This window comes from Homo sapiens, chromosome 13 (assembly GCF_000001405.40).
Source record: "Homo sapiens chromosome 13, GRCh38.p14 Primary Assembly".
Lineage (NCBI taxonomy): Eukaryota > Metazoa > Chordata > Mammalia > Primates > Hominidae > Homo > Homo sapiens.
In genome coordinates, this window is record NC_000013.11 from 110,305,243 (window position 1) to 110,330,559 (window position 25,317).

General features: G+C 49.9%; 2 protein-coding genes across 3 annotated transcripts in view, besides 6 other annotated features; one reads left to right on the top strand and one right to left on the bottom strand.

The window, feature by feature from the left end:
• The window catches only part of COL4A1 (collagen type IV alpha 1 chain), a 158,195-nt gene extending 156,280 nt beyond the window's left edge, over window positions 1–1,915 (bottom strand). For both annotated transcript variants that reach the window (NM_001845.6, NM_001303110.2), the window contains exon 1: window positions 1,702–1,915. In NM_001845.6, the coding sequence (NP_001836.3) occupies window positions 1,702–1,785 (84 nt within the window). In that variant the 5' untranslated portion in view covers window positions 1,786–1,915. The remainder of the gene's footprint in view (window positions 1–1,701) is intronic.
• Window positions 1,671–2,504: an enhancer, noted in NCBI's record as "H3K27ac hESC enhancer chr13:110959260-110960093 (GRCh37/hg19 assembly coordinates)". NCBI's record gives its function as "activates a minimal SCP1, AML or CMV promoter by ChIP-STARR-seq in primed H9 embryonic stem cells {active_cell/tissue: H9 hESC(primed)}" and the evidence as "EXISTENCE:reporter gene assay evidence [ECO:0000049][PMID:30033119]".
• Window positions 2,042–25,317, top strand: part of COL4A2 (collagen type IV alpha 2 chain) — a 205,926-nt gene continuing 182,650 nt past the window's right edge. The window contains exons 1-3 of the mRNA NM_001846.4: window positions 2,042–2,286; window positions 2,618–2,705; window positions 2,827–2,881. Of these exons, the coding sequence (NP_001837.2) occupies window positions 2,662–2,705; window positions 2,827–2,881 (99 nt within the window). The 5' untranslated portion in view covers window positions 2,042–2,286; window positions 2,618–2,661. The remainder of the gene's footprint in view (window positions 2,287–2,617; window positions 2,706–2,826; window positions 2,882–25,317) is intronic.
• Window positions 2,505–3,337: an enhancer, noted in NCBI's record as "H3K27ac hESC enhancer chr13:110960094-110960926 (GRCh37/hg19 assembly coordinates)". NCBI's record gives its function as "activates a minimal SCP1, AML or CMV promoter by ChIP-STARR-seq in naive H9 embryonic stem cells {active_cell/tissue: H9 hESC(naive)}" and the evidence as "EXISTENCE:reporter gene assay evidence [ECO:0000049][PMID:30033119]".
• Window positions 14,402–15,601: an enhancer, noted in NCBI's record as "BRD4-independent group 4 enhancer chr13:110971991-110973190 (GRCh37/hg19 assembly coordinates)". NCBI's record gives its function as "activates an origin of replication core promoter dependent on BRD2, P300/CBP, MED14 and CDK7 cofactors, and independent of BRD4, by STARR-seq in HCT116 cells {active_cell/tissue: HCT116}" and the evidence as "EXISTENCE:reporter gene assay evidence [ECO:0000049][PMID:35650434]".
• Window positions 14,468–14,999: an enhancer, noted in NCBI's record as "H3K27ac-H3K4me1 hESC enhancer chr13:110972057-110972588 (GRCh37/hg19 assembly coordinates)". NCBI's record gives its function as "activates a minimal SCP1, AML or CMV promoter by ChIP-STARR-seq in primed H9 embryonic stem cells {active_cell/tissue: H9 hESC(primed)}" and the evidence as "EXISTENCE:reporter gene assay evidence [ECO:0000049][PMID:30033119]".
• Window positions 15,000–15,529: an enhancer, noted in NCBI's record as "H3K27ac-H3K4me1 hESC enhancer chr13:110972589-110973118 (GRCh37/hg19 assembly coordinates)". NCBI's record gives its function as "activates a minimal SCP1, AML or CMV promoter by ChIP-STARR-seq in primed H9 embryonic stem cells {active_cell/tissue: H9 hESC(primed)}" and the evidence as "EXISTENCE:reporter gene assay evidence [ECO:0000049][PMID:30033119]".
• Window positions 21,776–22,544: an enhancer, noted in NCBI's record as "NANOG-H3K27ac-H3K4me1 hESC enhancer chr13:110979365-110980133 (GRCh37/hg19 assembly coordinates)". NCBI's record gives its function as "activates a minimal SCP1, AML or CMV promoter by ChIP-STARR-seq in primed H9 embryonic stem cells {active_cell/tissue: H9 hESC(primed)}" and the evidence as "EXISTENCE:reporter gene assay evidence [ECO:0000049][PMID:30033119]".

The following is a 25,317-nucleotide window of genomic DNA, read 5'->3' on the forward strand; positions in this document are numbered from 1 at the left end:
ACTGCAAAGACAGTGGCCGGGAATGTAATTGAGCTTTAGGAAATGATTAAAGGGAAGTAAAATCATCTCCAACTCAACATTAATGCGTTTGATTTCCCGGGTGAGAACAGGATTTGCGTAACTGAGTGGTTCTTTCTTTCTACAGTCCTGGATGTTTGGAAAGCCAGCTCTTACAGTTAGCTTTCTTTGCTTTGCTAACATTATCCATCAGAAAATCGAAATGCAAACAGCTCCTATTTCCCAATGAAGAACTTTCTCTGATTTACCTTACCATCATCAGGCTTCACCATCTCACCTTGGAAGCGTTCAATCTTTTGGTCAATATTTCTAGACCAAAATAAAGTGCTCTCAAGCCTGTTCTTTGGAAAGTATTTTGTCATCATTACCAAAGAGTGTTTAAATAACTGGCTATGAAGTTTGGGGAGACTGGGCTGGGAGGTACAATCTGAAGTTAATTGCTGATGTAATCATTAGTCCTTTCAATACCCAGTGGAGAAGCTGCCTCCAGGGAGATAAGCTCTCAATTAGGAGACGTGTGTGTATATCACCAGTTCTCTCTGGCATGTAACAGTTAACAATTTCTATACAGTTAAGTGGATTTAGTGAGTATCATTCTTCCAGGAGAGAAGTAAAATTTTTTTTTAAAGAGGAAAACAAAGAACAAGATTAAGAACAGTAAAAGAATAAGTATGGAAAATCTGGTAAGTAGCAAAAATCATTTTTAAGCATTTGAGGGAGAAACTGCAAAATCTGTTCAGAAGCCACACCTTCCGGCCTGTGGGACTGCATGGCTGTGACACTGAGCAACAGCTGAAGTCTTTATTCTCTCGGAGGGGAAGGAAAAAAGGAAACAACAGTCAGTCCAGGCTTGTCCACGGCTGGAAGCCTCGACTCCTGCAAACCTCCTGCAAACCGATCTCCCAGATCCTTTCTGGGCAAGCACATAACCAAAGGAAATGAAAACTAGAAAAACAATTTGTGCATGGAACAATGACATGGAGTTTCACTTTGGTTTCATGCTCAAATATGAATGTGGTTATAATTTTTTAAAATATATATTAATAGAAGGCAACGAGTTGAGGATGGTGGCTTCTTCAAGCCGGGCGTCCAGAAGAGCCCCACTTCTGCCTTGGAGCGCGCCTTAGGCAGCAGTCGTGGGAAAGCTCAGATACAGCTGTTTCCAGGCAAAGGGCCCAGAGCTTTTCAGCCTCAGCCACCAGGGTCTCCAGACAAGGAGAAATACGCCCAAAGCTGCTCCCAGGGGCTAGGAGCTCGGAGCTCCCAGTGTGGGTCTCTGAGCAGCGCGGGGTGGGCGCTCCCGGCCCTCCAGCCCCCAACTCCCTCGCGCACCCGGGACGGGTGAAGGCGCCCAGCTGCCGAGCATACCCGCGACGCGGGTTCAAATCCCGCCGGCTCCCAGGCACCCTCACCCCGCCACAGCGCGGGCTGTTTCTCCTCCCTTCCCCGGAGGAATTCCTTAACTCTCCAGTACCCATACCATAACAAAGGAGGCTCGGTCCACCAATGCGCGATCGTAGCCTACAGGGACCCCCAACGAACCCCGGCCCAGAGAATGCACCTGGCCGTGCCACGCGCGACCCCCGAGGGGCAGGCGGACGGGTCCAGGCGCGGACAAAGGGGCCTCTCGGGGCGCCCAAGCTCGGGGCGGGACGCCGGGAGCGGAGCTGGCCGGGAACTCACCTTCGCAGCGGCCCGGCTGTGCTCCTCGTGGAGCAGAAGGGCGGCGGGCAGCAGCAGCAGCCAGACGCTGAGCCGGGGCCCCATGGTGGCGCGCCCGAGGCGGCGAGGGACGGCTGCCCGGCGTGCGGGGGCCGCGGCGGACAGCTAGCTCTCGGAAGGCCGGACTTCCAGCGCTACGCACCGTCCCGGGTGCGGCGGCTCCAAGCGGAGACCTGAGCGCGGCGGGCCGAGCTCCCCAATTTGTTGGCGCTGCCCCCTCCCCCCCGGCGGTGCGCGGGCGGCGCCTCAAAGGGGAGGACCCTGCGGCGCGGGTAAGAGGCGGCGGGAGCGCGCGGCCCGGGAGTGTGGCTGCAGTGCGCCGGGACACCAGGGCTCCGCGCTCCGCACTCAAGAGGCTCCCGCGTCCCAACCCCTCGCGCCCGCGCGTTCGCGGATCCAGGCCGAGGACCGAAAGGGGCCGCCCGAGCCCCCGGGGCCGGCGCCCAGAGAGCCCAGCAAGGCCGGCCGCCCTGCCGGTGTGCCGCCGGCGGGTGCTTCTGGAAGGGCCAATGCGTTCGGGCAGCAGCCCCTGAAGCCGAGCCCGAGGTGAGAGCGACCCCCGAGCGGCGCCCAGACCCTGGCCCGAGAGCACCGACTTGGAGCGCCTTGTGCAGGCTAGGGCTGCACGCTCTCCTGCTTGGGAGTAGAAAGGGGGAGGGTGGGAGAGCGAAGACCGAGCTCCTCGGCCAAGGAGCACCCACAGGGGCCTAACGGGAGGCTCTCCTTCTTTCCGGGTCGTGGGGGGGACGGCCCTCCGGTCACCCCTGCATGCGGGCCGCGCACCGCGCTGTCCCCGCGTCTCGCGGACCGAGACCGGCGGTGAGGATGGGCTGCCTCCCTCATCCTGCGCTAAACTCGCTTTGTCTGTCGCCTCTAGGCTAAGTGGGACTGACCGGGGCCCAGAGTGGACGAACCGCCAGCATGGGGAGAGACCAGCGCGCGGTGGCCGGCCCTGCCCTACGGCGGTAAGCGACTTTCTGCCTGGTCCCCGTGGGTCACGCGCGCATGGACCCTTCGGTGTAACTCTCGGGGACTGACAAGCCGGGCCCGCACGTTCACGTCTCTCTTCCTCCCTTTCCCATGCAGGTGGCTGCTGCTGGGGACAGTGACCGTGGGGTTCCTCGCCCAGAGCGTCTTGGCGGTAAGTCCTGGCTCCCGCGCTTGGACTTGCGCGCCCGAGAGTGGTTGGGACGTTTGAGTGGCCTTGGAGAAGGCAGCTCGTCCGTGCGCTCCCGAGTGTGTGTGTGCGTGTGGATGTTCGCCAGGCTGCCCACCAAGGTTCTGAGAAAGCTTGCTCTTCCCTCATCATGCTTTCCACCTTTCCTTCCCCTTGGGTTCCCAGCGTCAATCCTGTGTTTTGCAAGCGTCGGCCTTTCACGGGAACTGGGAACTTAAAATGTAGCCTGAGGCACCGTTTTCGTTGCTTTGGGCAAAGCTGCAGCCGTAGAGGCCAGGAAAGTGTGTCAGTCACTAGGCAGTGAGACGCCAGGCTTAGGGCGAAAAAAGTTTTCCTGGAACTCGGGAGCTGGTGGGGAGTCTCTGTCACGGACTGAGGGTTTTTTGTGTTTTTAAATGGGAGTCTCTGGGTAAAGGGGCGGGGCGAGGAGGCGAACGAGACAACCTTAGTATTGTTTGAATTGAAGCATTGCGAGGGAACAATGGCAGAAAAACCGCGTTTTCTCCCAAGTCCTGTTCCGGCCCTGGAAGAGCTGCTCCGGGCGCCACACTGGGATCCTGTTCGCCGAGCCTGCCCCTCCACGCCGGCCGTGCACAGCCCTGCCGATACCGTGGGTGCAGCTGGCGACTGCACTGCGAGGCTTTGTCCATTTTATACGTTTTGTTTAAAGAGTAGGAGCCACTTTTACTGAGCTTTATGTAACCATGGCTAAAATGAAGAGGTTTGGTAGGTGAATTCGGTGCAGGACTCAAATGTTTAGACAGGAGCTGAAAGCGGAGGGAGCTTTCGAGATGTCCGCTGTCCCTCCTCTCCTTACTGTGGCCGATGGAGTAGCCCTGCCCTGTGGCAGCCGGGGCCCAGGTGGATTCCTCCTGGGAACGACCCCTCCCTCCTCAGCGCGCACTGTGCCAGAGCAGTACACAGGTACAAAGGGCAAACGTGTTCATGATTTCATTTGAATTCTGTTGTTTTTACATCGTTCTGCCCTGATGTAAAACAAACCAGGATTTTAAAGGCAGTGAGTGATGAGGAGCTACTCCCACTTGGGGAAGAGCTGCTAACTTTACTTTTCCGCTGCTGTTGGTTCCGGTTCAAAGCTCGGTTTGGGAAGTAAGAGGAGGACTCGGAGACTTTGACCAGAGCACTCCAGGCCAAAGTTTTCTTCCAGTTCAGGTCTGTCTCTTCGTCCCAGCCCCGACTTAAGATCAGAACCTAGATATTTGAACTAGCCCAGTGACCCTGTGAATTCTAATGCACAGGTCTGTACTGCATGTAAGACTTGGCTCAGATTTATGAACCAGAAGCAATGCATGCACGCGCACGCACGCACACTCAAAGAAGGGGGCGATCCCTAGAAAATACCACATCGGGCTGTGTGTGCTTTGGTTGTGCTGCCACCTGCACCCCTTTGTCCCTTAGAGCCACTTTTATAATTTCCATATGTTCATGCCTAAGGATGGTGGGAGTCCCAGGTATTCTTTTCTGAACTCATCCTAAAATTGGTAGAAAGACCACCAAGCACCTAGGTCTAAAGATCTAGGTATTAGCCTGGGCATGGCGGCTCACGCCTGTAATCTTAGCACTTTGGGAGGCCGCGGCCTGTGGATTGCCTGAGCTCAGGAGTTCGAGACCACCCTGGGAGAAACACGGTAAAACCCTGTCTCTACTAAAATACAAAAAAATCAGCCGGGCTTGGTGGCGCTTGCCTGTAATTCCAGCTACTCAGGAGGCTGAGGCACAAGAATTGCTTGAACCCAGGAGGCCGAGGTTGCAGTAAGCCGAAATAGCACCACTGCTCTCCAGTCTGGGCGACGGAGCAAGACTCTGTCTAAAAACAAAACAAACAAACAAAAAAAACCTAGTTACTAAACATAGCTCTGCCCTAATCTCTTAAATCCAGAGCCCCAGTTTCCGTACTCTGAAGAATTACGGCTTCACAGAGGCCAAGTGCCCTAAGGCAGATAGGACACCTCTATGCCTCCCCAAAACCTCATCATTGCTGCAAGCTCACCCCCAGTCTCTTTGACTCTTTGATCTTTGGATGGCACCAAGAACATTGATTGCCCAGCAGAGCTTCTCAAAGTGCAGGCCCCCTAGACCCCCAGACCTAAACCCTGAAAGGCTTGTTAAGAAGTCAGGCCCCATCTCAGACCTTCAGGTCAGACATTCCAGGGTGGAGTCCGGGACTCCGCCTCCCCACATGATACCAGAATCTGGGAACCACTGAGCTACAGTATTGGGTTGAGAGGCAGTTGAGATTACTTGCCAATTCACTTTATTTTCCTGGGCTTTAGATTCTAACTCAACCAAAAAAAATAGATATTTTTAATCATTTTACTAGGGACCTAGTAATATGTGTTGTTAAGAGACATGTAGTTTGTTACGTTCAACAAGGGGCTGGTCTTCTACTTACTCACTTCTTGGTAACCACTGGCTTTAATGGCTGTTCCTTGTGAAATAATGTTTCAATTTTCAACTGTATTGATTAAAGATTTTTCTTAATTGTGGCAAGGACTCTTTCCTGCGTAGGTCAGTTCAGGAAAAAGGGCTGCCGCTGGGAGCCCTTTGGCTTGTTTTGTTTCGGAAGCAGCTAGGATGGGCAGTGAAGAGCCTTGGTGATTACTTATTGGGCACTTCCTGTGTGCCAATTTGTCTGTACTAATGCTTCTAATCCTCACAAGCAAGCACACTGATGAGCTAGGTAACTATTATTACCCCCATTTTACAGGTGAGAAAAGCCACAAAGGGTTTGCAGCCCTCGCCCAAGGTTCCTGTCTTTGTAACTGAATGAGACGGATTAGAACCCAGGCCTCTTCCTCCACACCGAGCTTCCCAGGGCCTGAAAGGTGGCCGGGAGGGCACTCCTGAGTTTCAGTCTTTGAGTCTCCTGGGGTGTGGGTGCTTTCTTCTTGGTCTTGACCGTGGACTAACAGTGGAGCGGGCACTGATTCCTAGGAAGGAGGCTCTCCCCCTCCTTCCTCCTCTGCTTCTCCCACTGTGAGGATCAGGGGCAGCAAGTGAAGGAGAGAAGCAAGACCCTTCCCAAAGGGAGGAAAGGAAGCCGAAATCCCACGGGGCAGCCTGGGCTCTAGACTCAGTGTGAACCCAGGTGATCTGTGTGGGCACCTCAGGACACACTCCCTGCTGTCCAAGGTGCCCTTTCTAAAGGTGCCCTTGTTTGAATGTGGTGCCAAGATGCACAAAATGGCTTCGTGTAAGGCAGTGTGACACAGGGGTCCCATCCCAGACTTGAGGCAGGTGACGGGGTGCAGTTCTCAGTCTGGTGGGCAGCTGAGGGGCTGCCGCCTGGGGCGGACATTCGCCAAGCCTCTGCGTCCTAGTTCTCCTCTCCCCCAAAACGGAGGTGTTACTCATCCCACCCACCTCATAGATGGGGGTGCTGTGAGGTGTGTGGGTGCATGTGAAGCGCCTTGGAGGGTCTGGCACAGCCTGGGTGCCAGGAGGTATCCCCTGGGCCTGTTTAAGGGACTTCCCCTCGGCTGCCTATTCTAACCTTCATGGAGGCTTGAAAGCACTCACTGTAGCCGCTCTGAGCATTGTCACCTATCTCCAGAGGCTGGCAGCAGCCTGAGGGATCAAATATGCAGCCGGCTGGGTGGTCACCTGAGGACCTCTGGCCGGGACCTGGGGCCACAATAGACGTGGGTTCACGTAGGCATCAGTGCGGGGCCCCTGCCTGCCACCCTGCCGCTTAGTTTCCAGGCTGTCCTCGGGGCTCCAGCCCCAGGAAATTCGCCTGACCTTCCTGTTGGCTGCCACCGCCTTCCCTGCCCTCCAGGCCGGCAGCTGCGGTGGCAAGTCCTTTCCGCAGGCTTTGGTACAGGGAGGAGAGGTGTTCATGCCGCACGAGGCCCAGAGCTTTCTGTAAGGATCGGGAAGGACAATTCTTTCCTGCATTTCCTGGAGCTGAAGCGCTATTGCTCAAAACATGGCCCTCTGAGAAGAAGGGAAAAGCACGGGGTTCCTCCTCTGCTCGTGGATAAACAAGCATATCTCAGCTCTCTGGAGGCTGTTAAAGTCTTCCTCCATGGGTGGCTTGTAGGACTTGGCCACGATAAATAATAGCAGAGATTTGTCAGCAGCATCCCAGAAGGAGAGGTGGGTAGGAAGGGTAAACCGAAAAGCGCAGGAGAGGAAACAGGCTCTGTACGACCAGGCGGCTATGTTTACAACCAGAGAGAGAGAGGTGAAGAGGAAAAGGTTCTAGAATAGAAAAAAGATTTTGCTAAAATAATAAAAATCAAAGAACTGTGTTTAATTGTGTTTCTGGGGAGAGGGAAAGAAAATGGATGTGTAGTTTAAATAATAGAGAAACTCAAGGGAAAAACTGAGTGCCATGGAGATTTAACTTTTCAACCCTGTGTTGATAATATAATGAAGAGATCACCATCTAGAAAGTGGTTTGAGAATGTCTCATTCTTTTTATCTGAAGAAGAATGTTTGTCTTTGATTAGAGGGTTTTAGAGAAAGCTCTGAAACTGGCCTCATGCTTTGTGTCTGCTGGTGTCTACTGTGTGATCACTGCTGAAGGTAGGAGGCAATGTCTGCAACCCCCAGCCTTGGCTGATAGAGCTTGTGAATCAGGGACCAGGAATGACACAATAGTCTTGAGAGGCCATAAAGTCTAATCCAGCCTGTTGCTAACCGGGTTCTGACTTCAGGGCAAGACACTTTACGTGCTTTGGCTCTGGAGCCTGGAAGAGAATGTTGTGTGGAATGGATCTCTCAGGTGATCAACATACCATGAGTAAGTTAGAGGTCAGCAGTGAGGGCTGGCCTGTGCAGGTGTGCTAAGACCTGTGAGGGTGAGCCGGGGTCTCCGCTGTGATGCTGGGGATGAGAAAGCCCTTCCAGATAAGCTCCAGAATAGAATCTATCCAGCCTGCACCAGGATATCGCTTAGAAATCAATATGCCACATGGGACTTTTTATCTTCACGGTGTCGAGAAGCTTCTGGAATCCAGTAAATATGTGACATTTCTCAGTTGAGATGAGGAAAAGGGCAGAGTTCCTGGATAGTCCCCTCTTGCTGTTTCCCTCTGGTGCCCACTCCCTTCAGTTAATGAGACCCTGTCAGGACAGGTGACGGCCTAAGTGACTCACTGCTCTTGATTTCATTGGTGGCTCCGGAGGACGGTAATTTTTATTTTGGTTACCCCTGAAAGGAGAAGGCGGCATCTAATTCTAGGGAGACTTCACAGGTGTCTCCAGTCCTGTTGATGTGGCCAGAGAGTGAATTTCAAAGGACGTGCGAGCAGCCGGCGTCCACCCGGCAGGCTCCCACCCCGGTGCCCCGCGTCCACCCGGCAGGCTCCCACCCCGGTGCCCCGCGTCCACCCGGCAGGCTCCCACCCCGGTGCCCCGCGTCCACCCGGCAGGCTCCCACCCCAGTGCCCCGTGTCCACCCGGCAGGCTCCCACCCCAGTGCCCCGTGTCCACCCGGCAGGCTCCCACCCCGGTGCCCCGCGTCCACCCGGCAGGCTCCCACCCCAGTGCCCCGTGTCCACCCGGCAGGCTCCCACCCCGGTGCCCCGCGTCCACCCAGCAGGCTCCCACCCCAGTGCCCCGTGTCCACCCGGCAGGCTCCCACCCCGGTGCCCCGCGTCCACCCGGCAGGCTCCCACCCCAGTGCCCCGTGTCCACCCGGCAGGCTCCCACCCCGGTGCCCCGCGTCCACCCGGCAGGCTCCTACCTCGGTGCTGGGTTCCAGCCCCTCCCCTGTCTCCTGAGCTCCTGGCTGGCTCCTGAGTACTCTGCTTCACTGTCTTCTGTTGCCTTGGATGAAGCTGCCTTTTGAAGCAACATGCTTTTTTGTAAAACCGGCTCCTTTGAAGTGCAGCCTGGTATCCTGGGGCGGGTCCTGGGACAGAAAAGCTGCACTAGTGGAAAAACTGGTGAGATTCTAGCGGAGGCTGCAGTTCAATGTGATAATGTTGATTTCTGTACCAATGTTGATTTCTTAGTTTTCACAGAAATGTGCCATAGTTTTATAAAATGTCAATATGACATCATGATGTCTGGGTGAAGGGTATACAGGGACTCTCTGTACTATCTCTGCAACTCTTCTGCAAATCTCAATTGCTTCAGAATTTTAAAATGCTCCCAGGAGTCAGCAGCCAGTCACATTTGGTGTGCATGGGTCAGATGGACAAGTGCATGGAGAAGGCTGAAAGCAGCCAGTCTCGAATGAGCAGATGTGGGCAGCAAGAGGGAAATGTTGCTCCCATTCTTTTCTCTCATAGAGTAAGTGAACAGAAGTCTCTTCCACTTAGTGGAAAATACAGCAGAGGTAGACCCAAGCGAAGCCTGAGTAAAAGGATTTTTGTCCCCTGGCCGTGGGTGGAGTCATTTGTGAAGACGGGGAGGTTTCCCTGTGGAGTTTCTGCAGCACCACATGGGAGGCCCGGTGGAGCTGTCATGGGGCCTCTTCTTCGCTGGGGAGGGAAGTGGCCGCTCCGTTGTTTCCTGAGCCCAAGATGGAAGGGCAGGCTTGTATCACAGTGTCGCTGCAAGGACAGAAAACTGACAGTGGAGGAGCCCGGTGCTGCCCATACGCGCTCACCCCTAGGAACGCATCAGGCAGTACCCTCGTGCCCTCCTGGGCTGCACAGAATGGGAGCCCCCTTCCCGCCTGCCTAGGAAACCCCATGGGCCACAGGGACGGGCAGGTGGCAGGTGGCTGGTGGCTGGTGGAGGACTTAGGCCTCCTGCACACGTGGGTCACCTGATAGAAAGGGACAGGCCATGGCAGTGGGATTCAGAGTCCCAGCCTCTCAGTGGCCTCAGCTTCTGTGTTAGTTAGGGGCCAAGGGAAAGGGGCCTGGAGCCAGGATGGCCAGTGGCTGTTGCCTTGCACAGTTGCCTGTCATCACCCTGCCATTGATAACTGGAAATGAGAAGCATGAGCAGAGCCGCCTCTGCCCGGCCCCTGCCAGTTCTGCTCTGCACACCCTGTCTGCACTCCAGGCCTTAGCCCCGGGGGGATAAGGATGGCCTGTCCCTTTCTATCAGGTGACCCGCAGCAGGTATCACACACCTGCACATGGCTGGAGCCTCTGTCCTTTGCAACTGAGGCCCATTTCAGGGTCTAGCTAAAGTGTCTTCTCCACTGATAGGATTTTAAATTCTTTAGGATCGAGGATTATAAGTCATGATTGTAGCTCTATAGACTTGAAACATTTGTCTTCACCCATCATCCACTTTTTTTGTTTGTTTGTTTTCGTTTTTGTTTTAGAGGTGGAGTCTCACTCTGTCACCCAGGCTGGAGTGCAGTGGCGTGATCTTGGCTCCCTGCAACCTCTGCCTCCTGAGTTCAAGTGATTCTCCTGCCTCAGCCTCCCAAGTAGCTGGGATTACAGGCACGAGTCACCATTCTCAGCTAACTTACGTATTTTTAGTAGAGACAGGGTTTCACCATGTTGGCCAGGCTGGTTTCAAACTCCTGATCTCAGGTGATCCGCCTACCTCAGCCTCCCAAAGTGCTGGGATTACAGGCATGAGCCACCACGCCCTGCCATCATCCACTTTTTCTCCCAGTAACATGTCTTCTTTAGCTGACATTGCTGTTCCCACAGTCCAAGTTCAGGGCATCTTGCATCGGCCCTCATGGAATGATTCATGGGTACCTTTATCTGCCCGAGGCCTGAAATACAGTGGGCCCTCAACAGAGCTTGTTACATAAATGATTGCAGTTAGTTGGCAGCAATGCAAGCAGATCCTTTGGATGAGGAGTACAGTCATGGAACTATTAATAAAAGAGGAGATTAAAATGTATTTATTCTTACTGTGGGTTTTTTTTTCCCAAATTATCTGCTTTCTCCCACTGGATAAAACTAGCCGTATATGATGATAAAGGAATCATGGATCAGTCTGAAAGATTTGCATTTTTTCCTAGGGATTGTTTCAACCCCACCCATAGAATTCCTGTTTTGTTGCTTTTACCCAGTTCAGTGATCTCTCATGTGGGAATTAGAGAAGAATGTGTGTTTTTGAATTTCATGGACTGATTATCTGGTACCTGGTGGTAAATATTATATAACAATATTTTTCCACATGTTGAGTGTTTTTGGATCCCTGACTGTGGAGTAATGGGACCCTGTGAGATCCAGGAAAAGGGCTTCTGTTGGTGCACAGGGTCAGACACACGTGCCCTGGACTGCATCAAAAGCCATGGTTTGTCCACGAGAGAAAGGAGATGCCGATTGGCAGCCGTGATGCAATCATTGCAAACTGTGTCGGGAAGGAGCATCGCAGCGATGCAGGCCCTGGAGCCACCAGCCCGGCCCTCCTTCCCGCTCTGTCCTCCCCGCCTTCCAGTGACACTGGCTCCAGATTAGGTGAAAGGAAGAGGTCCCCTGGGAGATTCTTTGTGGGATCACCAGAACCAAACCTAAGAGAGCATCCTGAAGATGCTTCCAGCATTCCAGAACCTCTCGGAGCAGCTAAAACACCCTGCGAAGAAACATAGCAAATCCTGTTTGCTGAGCCACTGGTGCTGCAAACTGCTCTAAGCCACGGATGGTTCACAGATGGGTAAACTGAGGCATGTGCAGGAAGGCACCTGGTAGGTCAATAGGAACAAAGTGGGGAGTGAAACCTAGAACTTGCCGATTCTAAAACCTCTGCTCTTAACCACTGGCTAGGTGAATAAGCCCCAGCCACAGAATATATATACACGTCAAAATACAGAAATTGTGGTACATGTAAAACATAGATATGTATATTATATGTAGAAAATATGTTATCAATCTACATGGAATATACAGACATAGATGATAGAGATAAAAGAGAGAGAGAACACACACATACATATGCACCCTGTACTCACACACACACAGACACACAGATGCACACATACATGCATGCACATAGACACACAGGCACACGTAGACACACACATGCACCCAGCACACACATACAGACACACACATGCACATATAGACACACTTGCACCCCACACACACATACAGACACACAGATGCACACACACATGCACATAGACACAGAGATGCACACATAGACACACACGTGCACCCCACACACACAGACACACACATGTACATATAGACACACTTGCACCACACTCACACATACACACAGATGCACACACACACGCACATACACATAGATGCAAATACACAGAGACACACACTTGCACCCACACACACACAGAAACACATGTACACACACATAAACACACATGCTCATGCGTGTACACACACACACACTTAGCCGGAGGACGCTCCTGGTTTCTTTCTTCATGGGAGCAGCCAAGGCAGAAAAAGACTATACCTGCCTCTGGGGAGCATCAAACAGACCTGTTTCTTTAGGGTCCCTTCTGCAGAGAGGCTGGACAGAGGCGGGAGGGTGACTGAGTAGCCTCATGAACTCTGAAAAGTAAAGGCTAAGATGACTGCACTCAGGAGAGGCCCTTAAAGGATGACCAAGAAATACATGAGAATGGGCAAAGGGACAATTTCACCTGCAGAACCAAGAGTCCTGCAGACACAACCCCCAACCGGCCCTCTCCAAGTCTGGCTTGAAACTCCGGGCCACTGGGGTAAATGCTGCTGCAGCTATGTAAAGGGGAAAAGGAGGGGCAAACACGGCTTTATGTTTGGCTGTTGGAAAATTCTGCTAGTCCTAATTTAGAGAAAGACTTACTGAAACGCTATGGGCAAAAGAGACCTTCCCAAAATTATCTTAGACGTACAGGAAACCCAGTGGGCACTACAGAGAGACAGGGGATTCCATTTTCCCTGGACCAATGCCAGCTTCCTTACGCTGGGTCTTCTCTCACCGCCCCGTGTTTGTGCTGCTGTTTTTCATGGAAGTCCCCATGCGCCAACAGGAGGATAGGTGTGGTCTGTTAAAAAGAAGTGGAGCCTGTGGGCTTGAGCCCAGCGACTGGGAAAAGTCACTTTTCCTTTCTGAGAATGCTTGTCTTCATCTGTAAACGGGAATACTGAAAACTATGTCCCAGGGTCTCATGTATGTGACATTCGTTCATTAAATGAACATGTCTGATGCTGCTAGGAATAATTCACTCACGAGTTCTAGAACACCATGGACTCGTGTCTGGGTCAGAGCAAGGACAAGCAAGGAACCGTGAAGTCTGATCAGTGTGTGTGTGCGCGCGGGTATGGTTTGGGTTGTCCAAATATCTGACCCAACTTTACTTTAAATATGTCATCTAGGATTATTCATGGTAAGAAAGCAACCTGCAGACGTTCACTATTTGAGAGCCACTTTATTTGTTCTATATGAGACGTTCAGTACGATTGATTTTGTATGCAGTTGTACTCATCAGCAAGCACCTATAAGAGCCCCCACTCACCCTGCTCACAGGAAATGTCAGGACTCAGGCATGGGCCCCACAGAAATAGGGCCAGCTGGGGTCTTGGGTTCGAAACTGCTGTTGCTGCTGCCCAGCCAGGTGATGTTGGTGCGAGTATTCAACTCTTTACACTGTAGTTACATTTCTAAAACTGGGTTAAAATAGTTCTTACCTTATGCACGTGCCCAGAGGAGCAAGAAGAAATTGGCTGTAGAGAGTTTAGCAATCTTAGCATTGCGGTGCTTGATCAACACTAGTTCACATCTACCTGGCTTTAGGTTGTTGTTTTTTAGGTCTTCATCCTCAATACCTAAAGAACTTGAAGCCACAGAGAGTGAAGTTCAAGTTAACTAGAGTTATTGTTAACTCTAGTTAACAGTATGAAATAATGAAATATTCCATATTTCATTATGGGCAGGTTGGGGGTTGTGTCTGCAGGATTCTCGGTTCTGCAGGTGAAATTGTCCCTTTGCCCATTCTCACGTATTTCTTGGTCATCCTTGAAGGGCCTCTCCTGAGTGCAGTCATCTTAGCCTAGAGTTACCTTAGCCATGGTACTGGGACAGGAGGAAGTGGGTCAGCAGGACTGGTGGGTGCGGGGGCCTGTGGGGGGAGGTTTTAGTCTTCACGATTCTGGTGCCTGGAGTGCTGAGACCCTGGTGGCTCTGAGCAGATGGCCGCTGAGTGAGAACTGGTGGAGATGCGCCTTCCTGATGCCTTGAGACGGTTATTTCCATTTTCCTTAAGTTTAGGAAATGTCACCCAAAGGAAACATTTTAATATTAATTAAATTTCAGTCAAGGTGTAACTAACTTATTTCCAGAACAAATGGAAACACTTATAAACAAAGAACAATTTGTTCAAATAACCATGAGATGCAAGTATAATTTAGCAAAGCAAGAAAACTCAAGAGGCTTTGGTTTGGCAACATGACATAAAAATGCAGAACAGAATCTTAGGAGAGAGTTTCCTTCTTGAGAGAGCAGAAAGATTCCCTCCATACCATTTCCTAGCAGCGCAACTACTTCTCAGATTAGCATGGAAAGGCCTCCCAGACTAGCCCGTACCCTCCAACAGCCAGGTGAGTCAGGCCAAGACGTGGGTTCCCTGAGGAAGATTCCCGCTGGAAATTTCAGGGAAGAACCTCACCTCCTTCCCTTTCTTCCTTATTTGGTAGTTGTCCTAATTGTAACAAGCATCCAAGTTACAATTCAAGACCAAGTAGGGACCTGAGGTGATCTCCTGTCCTGTCTGAAATCCACCTTCCTTTCCTAGCTGTTCCCGCCAGATTTCAGCGCCCTCTTCCCTTCTCCTCCCAAGACAGTCTTAGCTCAGACAGGATTTCCTTAGTCTTAGTCATCAGCTCTTATTGTCCGGCCTCCTCCTTCCTGTTGTAAAACAAGGAATCTTAACAGCAAGTAGGCCAAAATTGTGTATCTTCAGTGATATGTCAATTTCCTGCCGGTAAGTGCAGACATCAGGTTTTGTGGTGGTTACCCACATCAAGGCGCCAGAGGTTGGAAAAGTCAACGCATTTCTAGTTAAGGCACACCGCACAGTGAGTTTTCAGCTGTCTGCCTTGGCTTTTGTGAATGTGTCTCTGTCCACCCGAAGGTTCTGGTTCTCGCATACTGGGCTCTCCTTTTGCCAGGCGCAGCCGCACAACCCAGGAACAGTCCTAACCCATTACATAAGGTGGCTAGGCGGGGCTGGCGGGTGGCACTGCCAGGTCACCTCCGGGCACTGGGTGACCCAGTCATTGGCCCCCTACGGCGACCCCCTGCCGCGTGGGTGCCACTGGCACCTCCCCTGGACTCCCAGTGCTGTGATTTCTGGGCGATTTCTCTGCTCTCCAACAAGAGTGATTTGTTATCTGCTTCTCACCTGATTGGAATTTAATGGTCTAGAAACAAATGAGTTATTTCACTCAGGAGGGGGAAGGAAGTCAGATTAGTCATGCTGGTGCTTGATTTTTTTTTAATCCAAGAATTCTTTACTTAAGAAGTAAAAGCAATTAAGAATAGTACTGAATCCTGCCTAGAAGTTCCAGAACAAGGAATGGGATGACACCGATAGATATTTCAAATAACTGGAAAGTTTAGTTCCCTCTGAACAAAGTCTAACTCTGAGGCCATCTGCTTCTTTTTATATCAAAACAGAGCAGCGTCTCAAAGAAAATAAGTGTATTTAAAAGGAAAGATCATAGGTAGATAGAATTCATCCGTTTTAAAAGTTGCCTTTTTCTCCTTTTTATAGCACCTTTCAAAAACATCTCTTCTTTCAACACTTCTAGCTCATCAGTGAGAGAGAACAAAAGGCTACAACTGTTGATTCAGGCAACATTTTTGCCTTCATGTTGATTTTTCTTCCTCATTGGGTTTAATTAACTAGAGTGTCTAAGAATAAACATAGAAAAAAGGCCTGTTTCATGGGCTTTTCTTAGTCTTTCACATTTAAAAAAATTACCTTAGATCTTTATTCTTTCTAAATATTTCATGTGTTTAAAAACTAGGTAACTTTCCTGTAATAAAAAATAAAATCTTGGCACATTATCAATATAGCACCTACCTTACAAACACAGTGTTGATAAACTAACCATCTGAAGATAATCTTACTAATGTCACATCAGGTCTCATATATGTGCGTATTTATATAGTGTGCATGTGTGTGTGTGTGTGTATGTGTCTGTGTGTATATATATATATATATACACACACACACACACATAGAGAGTGTACATATATATATACACATAATGCAAACCTGTGTCCATTTTTAATATTTTTTTCATTGTTTTAAATTGTGGTAAAATATATGTAACATAAAATTTACCATTGTACCCATGTTTAAATGACAGTTCAGTGGCATTAAACATATCACATTTTTGTGCAACTGTCACCATTGTCCGTCTCCAGAACTTGCTCATCATCCTAAACAGAAATTCCATGTGCATTAAATACCTCTGCATCCCATCCTTCCCCCACCCTCTGTTAATCTATTCTACTTTCTGTCACTTTGAGTGTGACTACTCTAGGGACCTCACAGAAGTGGAATCAGGCAGTGTTTGTCCTTTTGTGACTGGCTTACTTCGTTTAGTATAATGTCCTTGTATTAGTCCATGTTCATGCTACTGATAAAGACATAACCAAGACTGGGCAATTTACAAAAGAAAGAGGTTTAATCAACTTACATTTCCACGTGGCTGGAGAAACCTCACAATCATGGCAGAAGGCAAGGAGGAGCAAGTCACGTCTTACATGGATGGCAGCAGGCAAAGAGAGAATGTACCAGCAGGGGAAATGTCAGATGCTTATAAAACTAGATCTCAGGAGAACTCACTATCATGAGAACAGTATGGGGGAAACCATCCCCATAATTCAGTTAGCTCCACCTGGCCCCACCCTTGACATGTGGGGATGATTACAATTCAAGGTGAGATTTAGGTGGGGACACAGAGCCAAACCATATCAGTCCTGAAGATGCATCCATGTTGTAGTGAGTGGCAGAATTTCCTTCCTTTTTAAGCCCCAGTAACAGTGCTATGCTTTTTAAAGTTCTTATTTTTAAACTCAGTTTTGTTTCTTTGGTTGACAGGTTTCAAATGGTTAATGTCAGGTATTGCAAATCAGAGAGGTTTAGGAAATGGCGATGTGAGACCCAGCTCCAGATGAAGGAGCAGGGGGCAAGGAAGCCTGGGGCTGGCCTGCCTGCCTGTCTCTCGGAGGCGGCCTGCCCGTGCCTCTGTTCTTGATGTTTGTTTTGCTTTCTGGTAAACGTTCACCACTCTCCCGAAGGAGGTTGGCTTGGGCCGCACTGAGTTGGTTTCCTCTGGGACAGGCATGGGAAGCTGTCCAGGAGGGAACCGGGTGTCTGGGTGGGAAGCCAGTGAGCGAGGTCTGGGTTGCCCACACAGGTGCAGGCACCAGACCTAAAGCAGTTCTCCTGGAGCAGTTCCTGAAGCCCCAGAACTGCGTGAGATTCCTCAGGAGGAGGACAGGGGATGGACGCGTCAAGACAAGGGGAGAAGACATATGGGGAACCCCGGGAGGGGCTGTGAGAGGAGGCTGTGATCGGGTGCAGGCCTAGATCTTCCCCATGGCTTCACCAAACTGACGGTCACCAGCCTCCCCTCTTCCTGTGGTACTGGGGTCAGAAGATGGAGAGTGGAGACAGGGAGCCGATGTCCACCTCTGGTCACTGCCCTTCTTCCCTGCTAGACTTCAGGTTGCTAAGGGCTGGGAACTTGGTTTATTCATCACCAGGTCCTCCCACAGCACAGGACCTTCACATAGATGCTGGAGTAATTTTATTAAATCAGTGTGTTATTTAACTCTTCCACGGGGACCCTAAGATAGTTAAGGTTTCTCTGCAGGCGCAGCTGGCAGCATGATCAGAGGCTACTGAGGCCGCCCGAGTCAGGTCAGCTGGAGCGGGAGGGCGGATGCCCAGAGGAGGCTAACAAAGGGCGTGTTGCCATCTCCTTTTTACATTTTGAAGGCTTTGGCATGACCCCCAATACCAGCTGTTACAACCAACCCAGCCTGGGCACTGTTGCACAGTCTAGGAGGAGCAAGTAGACAAAGATAGGGATCCACTGATTCTATGAAAACTTGCAGCTGATTGAGGGGAGGTGTCAGTCCATGGGAAGTCCATACCACAGGGGTTGGGAGCTACATTCCCCAGAGTTCAAGGGCCTGTTGCTGCCCCACTGCCTTAGATTCCTATGACTGGACATCAGAGGCCCACTGGTGACTCTGGAATTTCTGTTGCACCCTCTGTGGTCAGGGAGCTCTAACCAGGTGATGCCCCGATGCCTGGGAGGAGGAGCGCATCCACAGGCAGTTCCTTGCCTGAGATGATGTCAGGCATCGGGATGAGGGCCCCCCCTGTGGAAGCTGGACAGCCGTCTTGCTGTTTGCTTTTATATTTTTTGAGTTAGTCATGCTAAATATAATGTCTCTGCAGCTGTAAAACCTGGAGCTGAAGAGAATGAGTGTCTGGGAAGCTGGGGGCCAGCCCACAGGCTCCTCTCCTAGACAGACAGAGCATGCAGGATGCCCAGTGCCAGCTTCCCCTACCTGCTACCTGCAGTATTGCATACAATAAGGGCAGGTGGAGTTGAAGTCAGAAAATTCCAAAGGAAAGGGGCTTCCTCCTCCACACCAAATCTAAGCACAGGCCCCAGGTGGCTCCCTGAGGACAGGGACCAAGCCATGGGCACGCTGCCCCCAGCGCCCAGCTGGGCATCTGCTGTAGCAGCTGGAGTCTAAGCCACACAATAGACAGAGCTGGTGGGAGGAAAGAGAGAGGGAAAGTCGAGATTCCTGGCCAGGACCGAAGCTAAGTAGTTTGGGGACTTTTTGTTCAGAATCACAACACAAATCATTATGCTGAGTGCGAAAGGCATGGCCCTCAAAAATGTGCACCTTGGGTCAACTGAAGGTTCCTCTCTCATTGGTTTCACTTGATTTGAATTACAGTCGAAAAAATTATTGGGTAGACAGACATTGGCTTATCTGCAAAGTCAAACTAATGCAAAATATGCTTCAACTGCAAGACAGAGTGCCAAACTATTTCAATTTAATAGCATGGTTTTTTTTTTTCTTGAGCTTCAATGCAAAGGGAAGCCAGGCATCTGGCCAGTGAGCAGTCTATGAGCTGAGCTGTGCTTTTCTTCAGGGCAGGCAGAGGTTGGCCAGTGGCCTTCTTGGCACTCCCAGAAACTCAGCTTCATGGGCGTCAAGGGTAAGAATGTGGAAGGTGGTCTGGTGGCCAAAATCACACAGTCCCTGGATGTGGTGGTCACCATCCACCAATGTCCACTGGTGGGCGATAACTGGACTCGCTCCTTCTTGACACCTGTCCTGCTGGGCTCTTGATATTGAGGCTACTGGAGGAAGGAGCTTGCCTGAGAAGGCACTTCCACAAGGAGAGGGATCTGAGTCCACAGGGGAGGGGAGGTCTCTTCGCCTGAATGCATGAGAAAGCATACTGGACATGAAGCCCCAGTCCTGGCTGGGGGTCAGAAGAGATGGGCCGGAGCAGCACTGCCCGAACGGATGCACGTTTGACTCAGCCGATTTGGATCAGGCAGGTCTGGGGCTCCTGGGACTCTGCATTCCTAATGCTCCCAGGTGATGGTGGTGCTGCTGCCCAGGGTGCCACAGTGAGCAGCAGGTCCTAGAAGACAGCCTCTGGAGGGCTCTTCTGGCCTCGGGATTGTTTCTGCCTTGAGTGGTTGCTTTCTAGCAATAGAAAAATGTGTAGGTGGGGCCTCCCGGCCCCTGGAATCTCCCGCCAATCTTTAAAACGTGGTGAGGACCACCCTACGCTTGCCTGCTGATTGATACAGCTTTAGGAATTGGGTGAGGGAAAGATAATTTTCATCTGTTGGTTCTTTGGAAGGGTTAAGGAATTTCTCATTTACAAAGCTCTTTATCTTTTGACGTGTGGGACTGAGCCTTCCAGGATCATGTCATGCCTGAGAGCACGTTCGACCCTTAGCATGGCAAAAGCAGCCTTCACATGCACAAGGAGGATGGGGAGAAGAGGCATCGTAACTGACTGTATGAAAACGTCTGCGTCCCCACAAAGATGGACTTTCTTACACCATCCACCTTAGCTCAGCCTTTTACCAAAGTTTAAGCCACATGTGTCCATAATAATAATCGGAAATCAACGCATTTTTAATAAGCATTTAGAACCAATGATCAGAAACAGAAAGTGACACTAATGCTTTGTGGAGAGTTTACCCGAAGATTTTTTTCTCTTTGAAATGAAGTCAAAAGCACATTCCTCCCCACCTGTTACCTCCCTAAGTTGTTAAAGGCAGCCCTGTTTCTCCTGGAGTGATACTTGATTCTCCCTGGTGATGGTCTGCCATGCATTGATGGGCTCTAGTTAAAACATCTCTCAGACAGAGTCCTTTGGAAAATTCCATGAAAGAAACCGCCTATTAGAGATAAAAGCAAAGGTTAAGTAACCAGATAGATCATAGAAGTGTCTCCCAGGGAAATCGTATTGGAAGATCAGTGGCTGAGGTAAAGGACGCTGGGCTTGAACACTTAACTAAGGCTGCCTGATCACTGGAGGCTTCCTCCTGGAGGCTTCTAATCCCCGTGTCGCTTCAGCCTTTCTGTCTTCTCAGATTGCTTACCCCGGTAGGTGCTGCCCTTCCCTTCGGGACACGGAAGCTACACTTTGCTTTGTGCATTGTCAAGGAGGAGAAACAGGCACTTCCTGCCTTATGAATGTGTCCTGTTCCTGAATTTCTTTTTTTTTTTTTTAGACGGAGTCTCACTCTGTCGCCCAGGCTGGAGTGCAGTGTTGAGATCTCAGCTCACTGAAACCTCCACCTCCTGGGTTCAAGCGATTCTCCTGCCTCAGCCTCCCAAGTAGCTGGGACTACAGGCGTGCGTCACCAGGCCGGGCTAATTTTTTGGTATTTTTAGTAGATACAGGGTTTCGCCACGTTGGCCAGGCTGGTCTTGAACTCCTGACCTCAAGTGATCCTCCCTCCTTGGCCTCCCAAAGTAGTGGGATTACGGGCATGAGCCACCAAGCCCAGCCCCGAATTTCATTTTAAGTCATTTGCTCAGAACCCAGATGGCACCTGCCCTTCGCCCAGGGGTGAGGAGCTTCCACCTCGGAGTTCAAATTCATCTCCATCAGTCCCTGTGGAACCTGGGAGGAGATCTGAATTTTTTTATTGGAAAATGCATCCCCTGTGAGATGAATTTATAATCCTCCCTCAGCAAGTTGCTGGTAGAATTAAATTCTACAGTGTACATAAGGTACTTAACCACAGTGTCTGGCATAGAATAAACACCCAAAAGGTGCAATTCCTGCACTTTCCTCTCTATCCTCGTGCACCTAAACCTCAGCCTCCTCTGTCTGTCTCCCTAGTGGCAGCTGCCAGCCTTCTGCTCCCCTGAGTCACGGCGTCTTGGCAAGTACTGCCCAAAGTGTTTCAATACAGAGATAGCTCTTCAGCCTCTCTTTCCCTTAGCACATTGCAGGCCCCAGGAATTGTGGAAACAGGCTGTTTGAGGACATCTGTCATTTGAGCTTTCACTCACCCCAGCATGCTGGGGCCCTTCTTGGGCCCTGCAGCCTTCAGGGCGAGGTCACACAGAGGGGACACGCTGGGCCCTTCCTGCTGCCCCGCGCCTGTCTGGCTGCCTCATCAGTGACTCCTGGTCTGCTGGGAGGTGCCCAGTGGAACCCCCTACATCCCATCCGATTCCTAATCTATTTCCTGGTGGTCAACCTGGCCCTCTGCTCGGCCACCTGTGGACAGCACTGCCTTCCCTTGAGTGTGGGTTGGTTCCCAACATCAGAGCAGTTCACACAGTCTCAGATGGCAGTCACCCGCCCGCTCAAGAGCGTGACCACTTTGTGACCTGATCAAAGATAGACAATAAGCTTGGCTTCGTGATAAGCCTGTTTAATGTATCCCCTCCTCTTATTCCCAGAAGTTTTAAGAAATATTCAATTAGCGACTCAGAGTCACAACCCAGATACCTCTGCCTGTCTCCAGCAGACACCGCTCCCACCCCAGCCCTGTGGTTGCTAACCTGGGCTAGCCTGTCCCCAGCACACACACACCCCTCCTGCTCCAACTCTAAGGTGCTAACCCAGGCTGGCCTGTCCCCAGCACACACACTCTTACATCTGCTCCCTCCCTGGTTTATGATTCCCAGGGGGCCCCCACCCATGGAATTTGGGCGTCCCCAGTTACTCTGGTTGGGTTGTTTACCCCTCCACTGGCTTGCTTCCTGCCCTTCCCGGGGGGTCCTCACCAACCCCCAAGAGCTCAGCACACACAATCACCCACTCCGGGTATTTCAGACAAACTTCTCCTCGCGTCACAGACCACATTTGATTCCATCCAAAACACAATCTGTGATATCACCTCCACCACCCAACCAGCCGTCCCAGCAGGTCAGTCTCAGAAATATAACTCTGCATTTTACATTTGACTCTTGTCATCAAAAGACAAGCAATTGAATGTGCTTTAGAGTGATTCTCTTAAATAGTCCCAGATGGTTTTTAAGTGTGTGTCTTTCTATAGTGAAGAGATTGGGGGTGGGGTGTTGGGTTGGAAAACAAAGAAATTCAGCTTGAAGTAGTCAGCTTGTGTTGTTTTAGGAGAGGAATTCATTCTGTGGGTGTCAGTGAAGCATTAAAATCCCCCCAACAGCTCCAGAGAAATAGTTCCCTGCTGTGGCCCACACCCCAGCTAATTCTGTTTTCGTCATTAGTTAAGGCAGTTGTCCTGGGTGAAGTCTTAGCACTTGTCCATCATCTTTTAAAACTTAACGCTTGAAGCAAAGTTGTGACTGTAAACAGCTTTGCAACTCTTCGGTCACACACACAAAATGATTCATTTCTCATAGTCTTAGTAAAGTCTAAATAAGTTTTTATCATATTTTCCTAAAATCTTTTTTATGAAAGGTTTTTTAAATGATGAAGTGATGTATAGAACTGTTAACTCAAAATCATACACCACAAACCTCATCAACCTAGACTAATCACTCTGACTTTGCAGTAAACTGTAGGCAAGAAGGAGTCTTCAGTTAAATTAATAGTCTGGAAAAGTTGATCAGGAATATAATCTGTTTAAGAAAAAAATCTTCTTAAGGAACTTCTGGGACACTTACTTGTGGGCAAAAATCAAACGTTCTTGATAAATATTACGAATTTGTTTAATTCGTCCTGAAGAGCCTCTGTCGGAGGACCATGAGTTCCTTGCTCAGTTGTTGGATTGTTTAAAAATCAGTTAAACATTGTTTCTGTTTTCAAAATTTTCCAATTCAGATATTTTTTCTGTTCCACCATTAAATAAAATTAGGAATATTTTCCACTCTGGCTTGGCATGGGAGAAGAGACAACCCCTGGCAGGCAAGTTCACTGCTATCTGAAGCAAATGCGGTGCAAGCTGAGATTTGTGTCCATCGAGCATTTTACTGTCTTTCTCTGTCTCATCCCTTGGTTTCATGAAATATGAAAATAGAACAGCGCACTTTTCAGAAGAAATCGATGGCTCAGACACATTTACCTTAATGGGCTGCTGGGCACGTTTAATTCAACGACTGTGCGGTGGTAAGGATGGTAGATAAGGACATTGTTCTCTGAAGGGCTCGTTCTAGACCAGCTTGCCCAGACTGCTGTGAAGGTGATCCAGGGGCCCAGAGCAGACAGAGAGATGACGCCCAGAGAGACGGGCGGGCTCCGTCACCCAGCAGCGTCTCCTAGCAGATCTGAGATCCTAGCGGATCCAAAGCTACCATGGAGCCCTAGTCCACTGCAGTCTTGATAAACTCATGCTGTCATCTAATTCACTAGCTAAATCACTTCATATATTAGATCACTTTTTGAGAAAATTACATGACTCACTGTTTTTAAAAGCCTGCTTTGGAAATGATGAACAGAACCTTCTAGTAGTCCAAAACCCATTGAGCTTTGTAGAACAACATTATGGAACAAATTTTATACTTCTTTGAGGTCCTGTATTCTGGCGAAAAATAAATTCTTCTTCTATTTTAGCACAATGTGTTTAAAGCCCATAATCAGATACAGAAATAGAAAACATGCTAATCTGAATAAAATGAAGAAGTAAATGGAGAAGTTTAGACCTTTAAGCAAGTTGCTTGTTACTTCAATACTTGGGGTATTCGATTTTTTAATGCAAATGTTTTCAAAGATACACTAATTTTGAAATAATGTAAGACACCACTGCAATCACTCTTACATTCCCGGTAGACCTCTGAGAGCAGCAACCACCCTCCACCACCCCACTAACATCATCTTGAATCAACGCTTTAAGAAAAAACATACTTGCTGCAGTGGTTCTGGAGCTGGAGAAGGAAGATAGAGCCAGCCACAGGTGGGCGTGCCCTGCAGGGGAAGGCGTCTAGTGGTCCCTCCGTACCACAGAGCATTCCCACCCTCTTCCCTCACTGCGGGTGCCACATATTTGTTGTGGTTTCTTTGTGGTTGTCAAAGCCAAGTTTCATAGGTGTTATCTCACTTTATCCTCATGGCATCCTTGGAAATAGAGGGCACAGGTGCAGTCATACCAAATACAGACAAAGGAAAAATGCCAGTGGAAGTCAATAACATGCCTGAGGCCTCTGGTTTGTGAAGAGCTGGTGCTGGAACCCTGACTTTCTTTTACTCAAAGGGTTTGTCCCAAGCGAATTATTCCAGGTCCACACGGCTCTGTTTGAAGTACTTCGGTGGATGCATCCATCTGGTATTCTCAACCACCCCATGAAAGAGACAGAGGAAGGTTATGACCACCACGGCACTGGCAGGAGGAGAGAAAAACGCCCAGTGATGGCTCAGCACACCCAGCAAAGTGCATAATTCCAGAGGGTGAAGGGTGAGTTGGTGCGTGCAGTGAAATACGATATGACGAGGCCAACTTTTCATCTGTTTAAAGGACAAGACCAAGTGTGACAGATTCAAGTATATGTCTTTAAGTTGCCAAATGAACACTGTGTGTATTTTGCTTTTTGGTAAATACAAATTACTCTTCTGAAAATTTGGAAGCACTGTGACAGTTTTCTAATGAAATTAGACGGAGAATGAGTTTTACCATTAAGGACTCAAGGCTTTCCACGGCCCCTTTAACTGAGAATGGACCTTGATTTTGTTTTGCGAGTCACTCTTACAGCTGCATGACTTCATCTCAAGCAAGCTAAATAAAGGAATTTTCGGTATTATAACGGTCACTAAGCAGACAACTGACGTGTCAGCGATTAGAAGGGGTAAGGTTTCGGGGCGAGTGTGGAAAGATACTGCTGTAACACGATGTTTTACTCGGTGGCTTCATTGTGTAGGTGGGTGGCGAGTCGGAATGAAGCTGGGAGGCGCGGGGTGGAGGCGGGGGGGCAGCCCCAACTCCAGAGCTCTTCCCAGCCAGAATGTCAGTCTGATTGGGGCAAATCCCCTGAAGTCTATTGAAACTCCCCATCTGCCTGTTCACAATTCATCTAAGCAACTCTGAAAAGAGGATAAACCTCCTCAGGCCAGTATT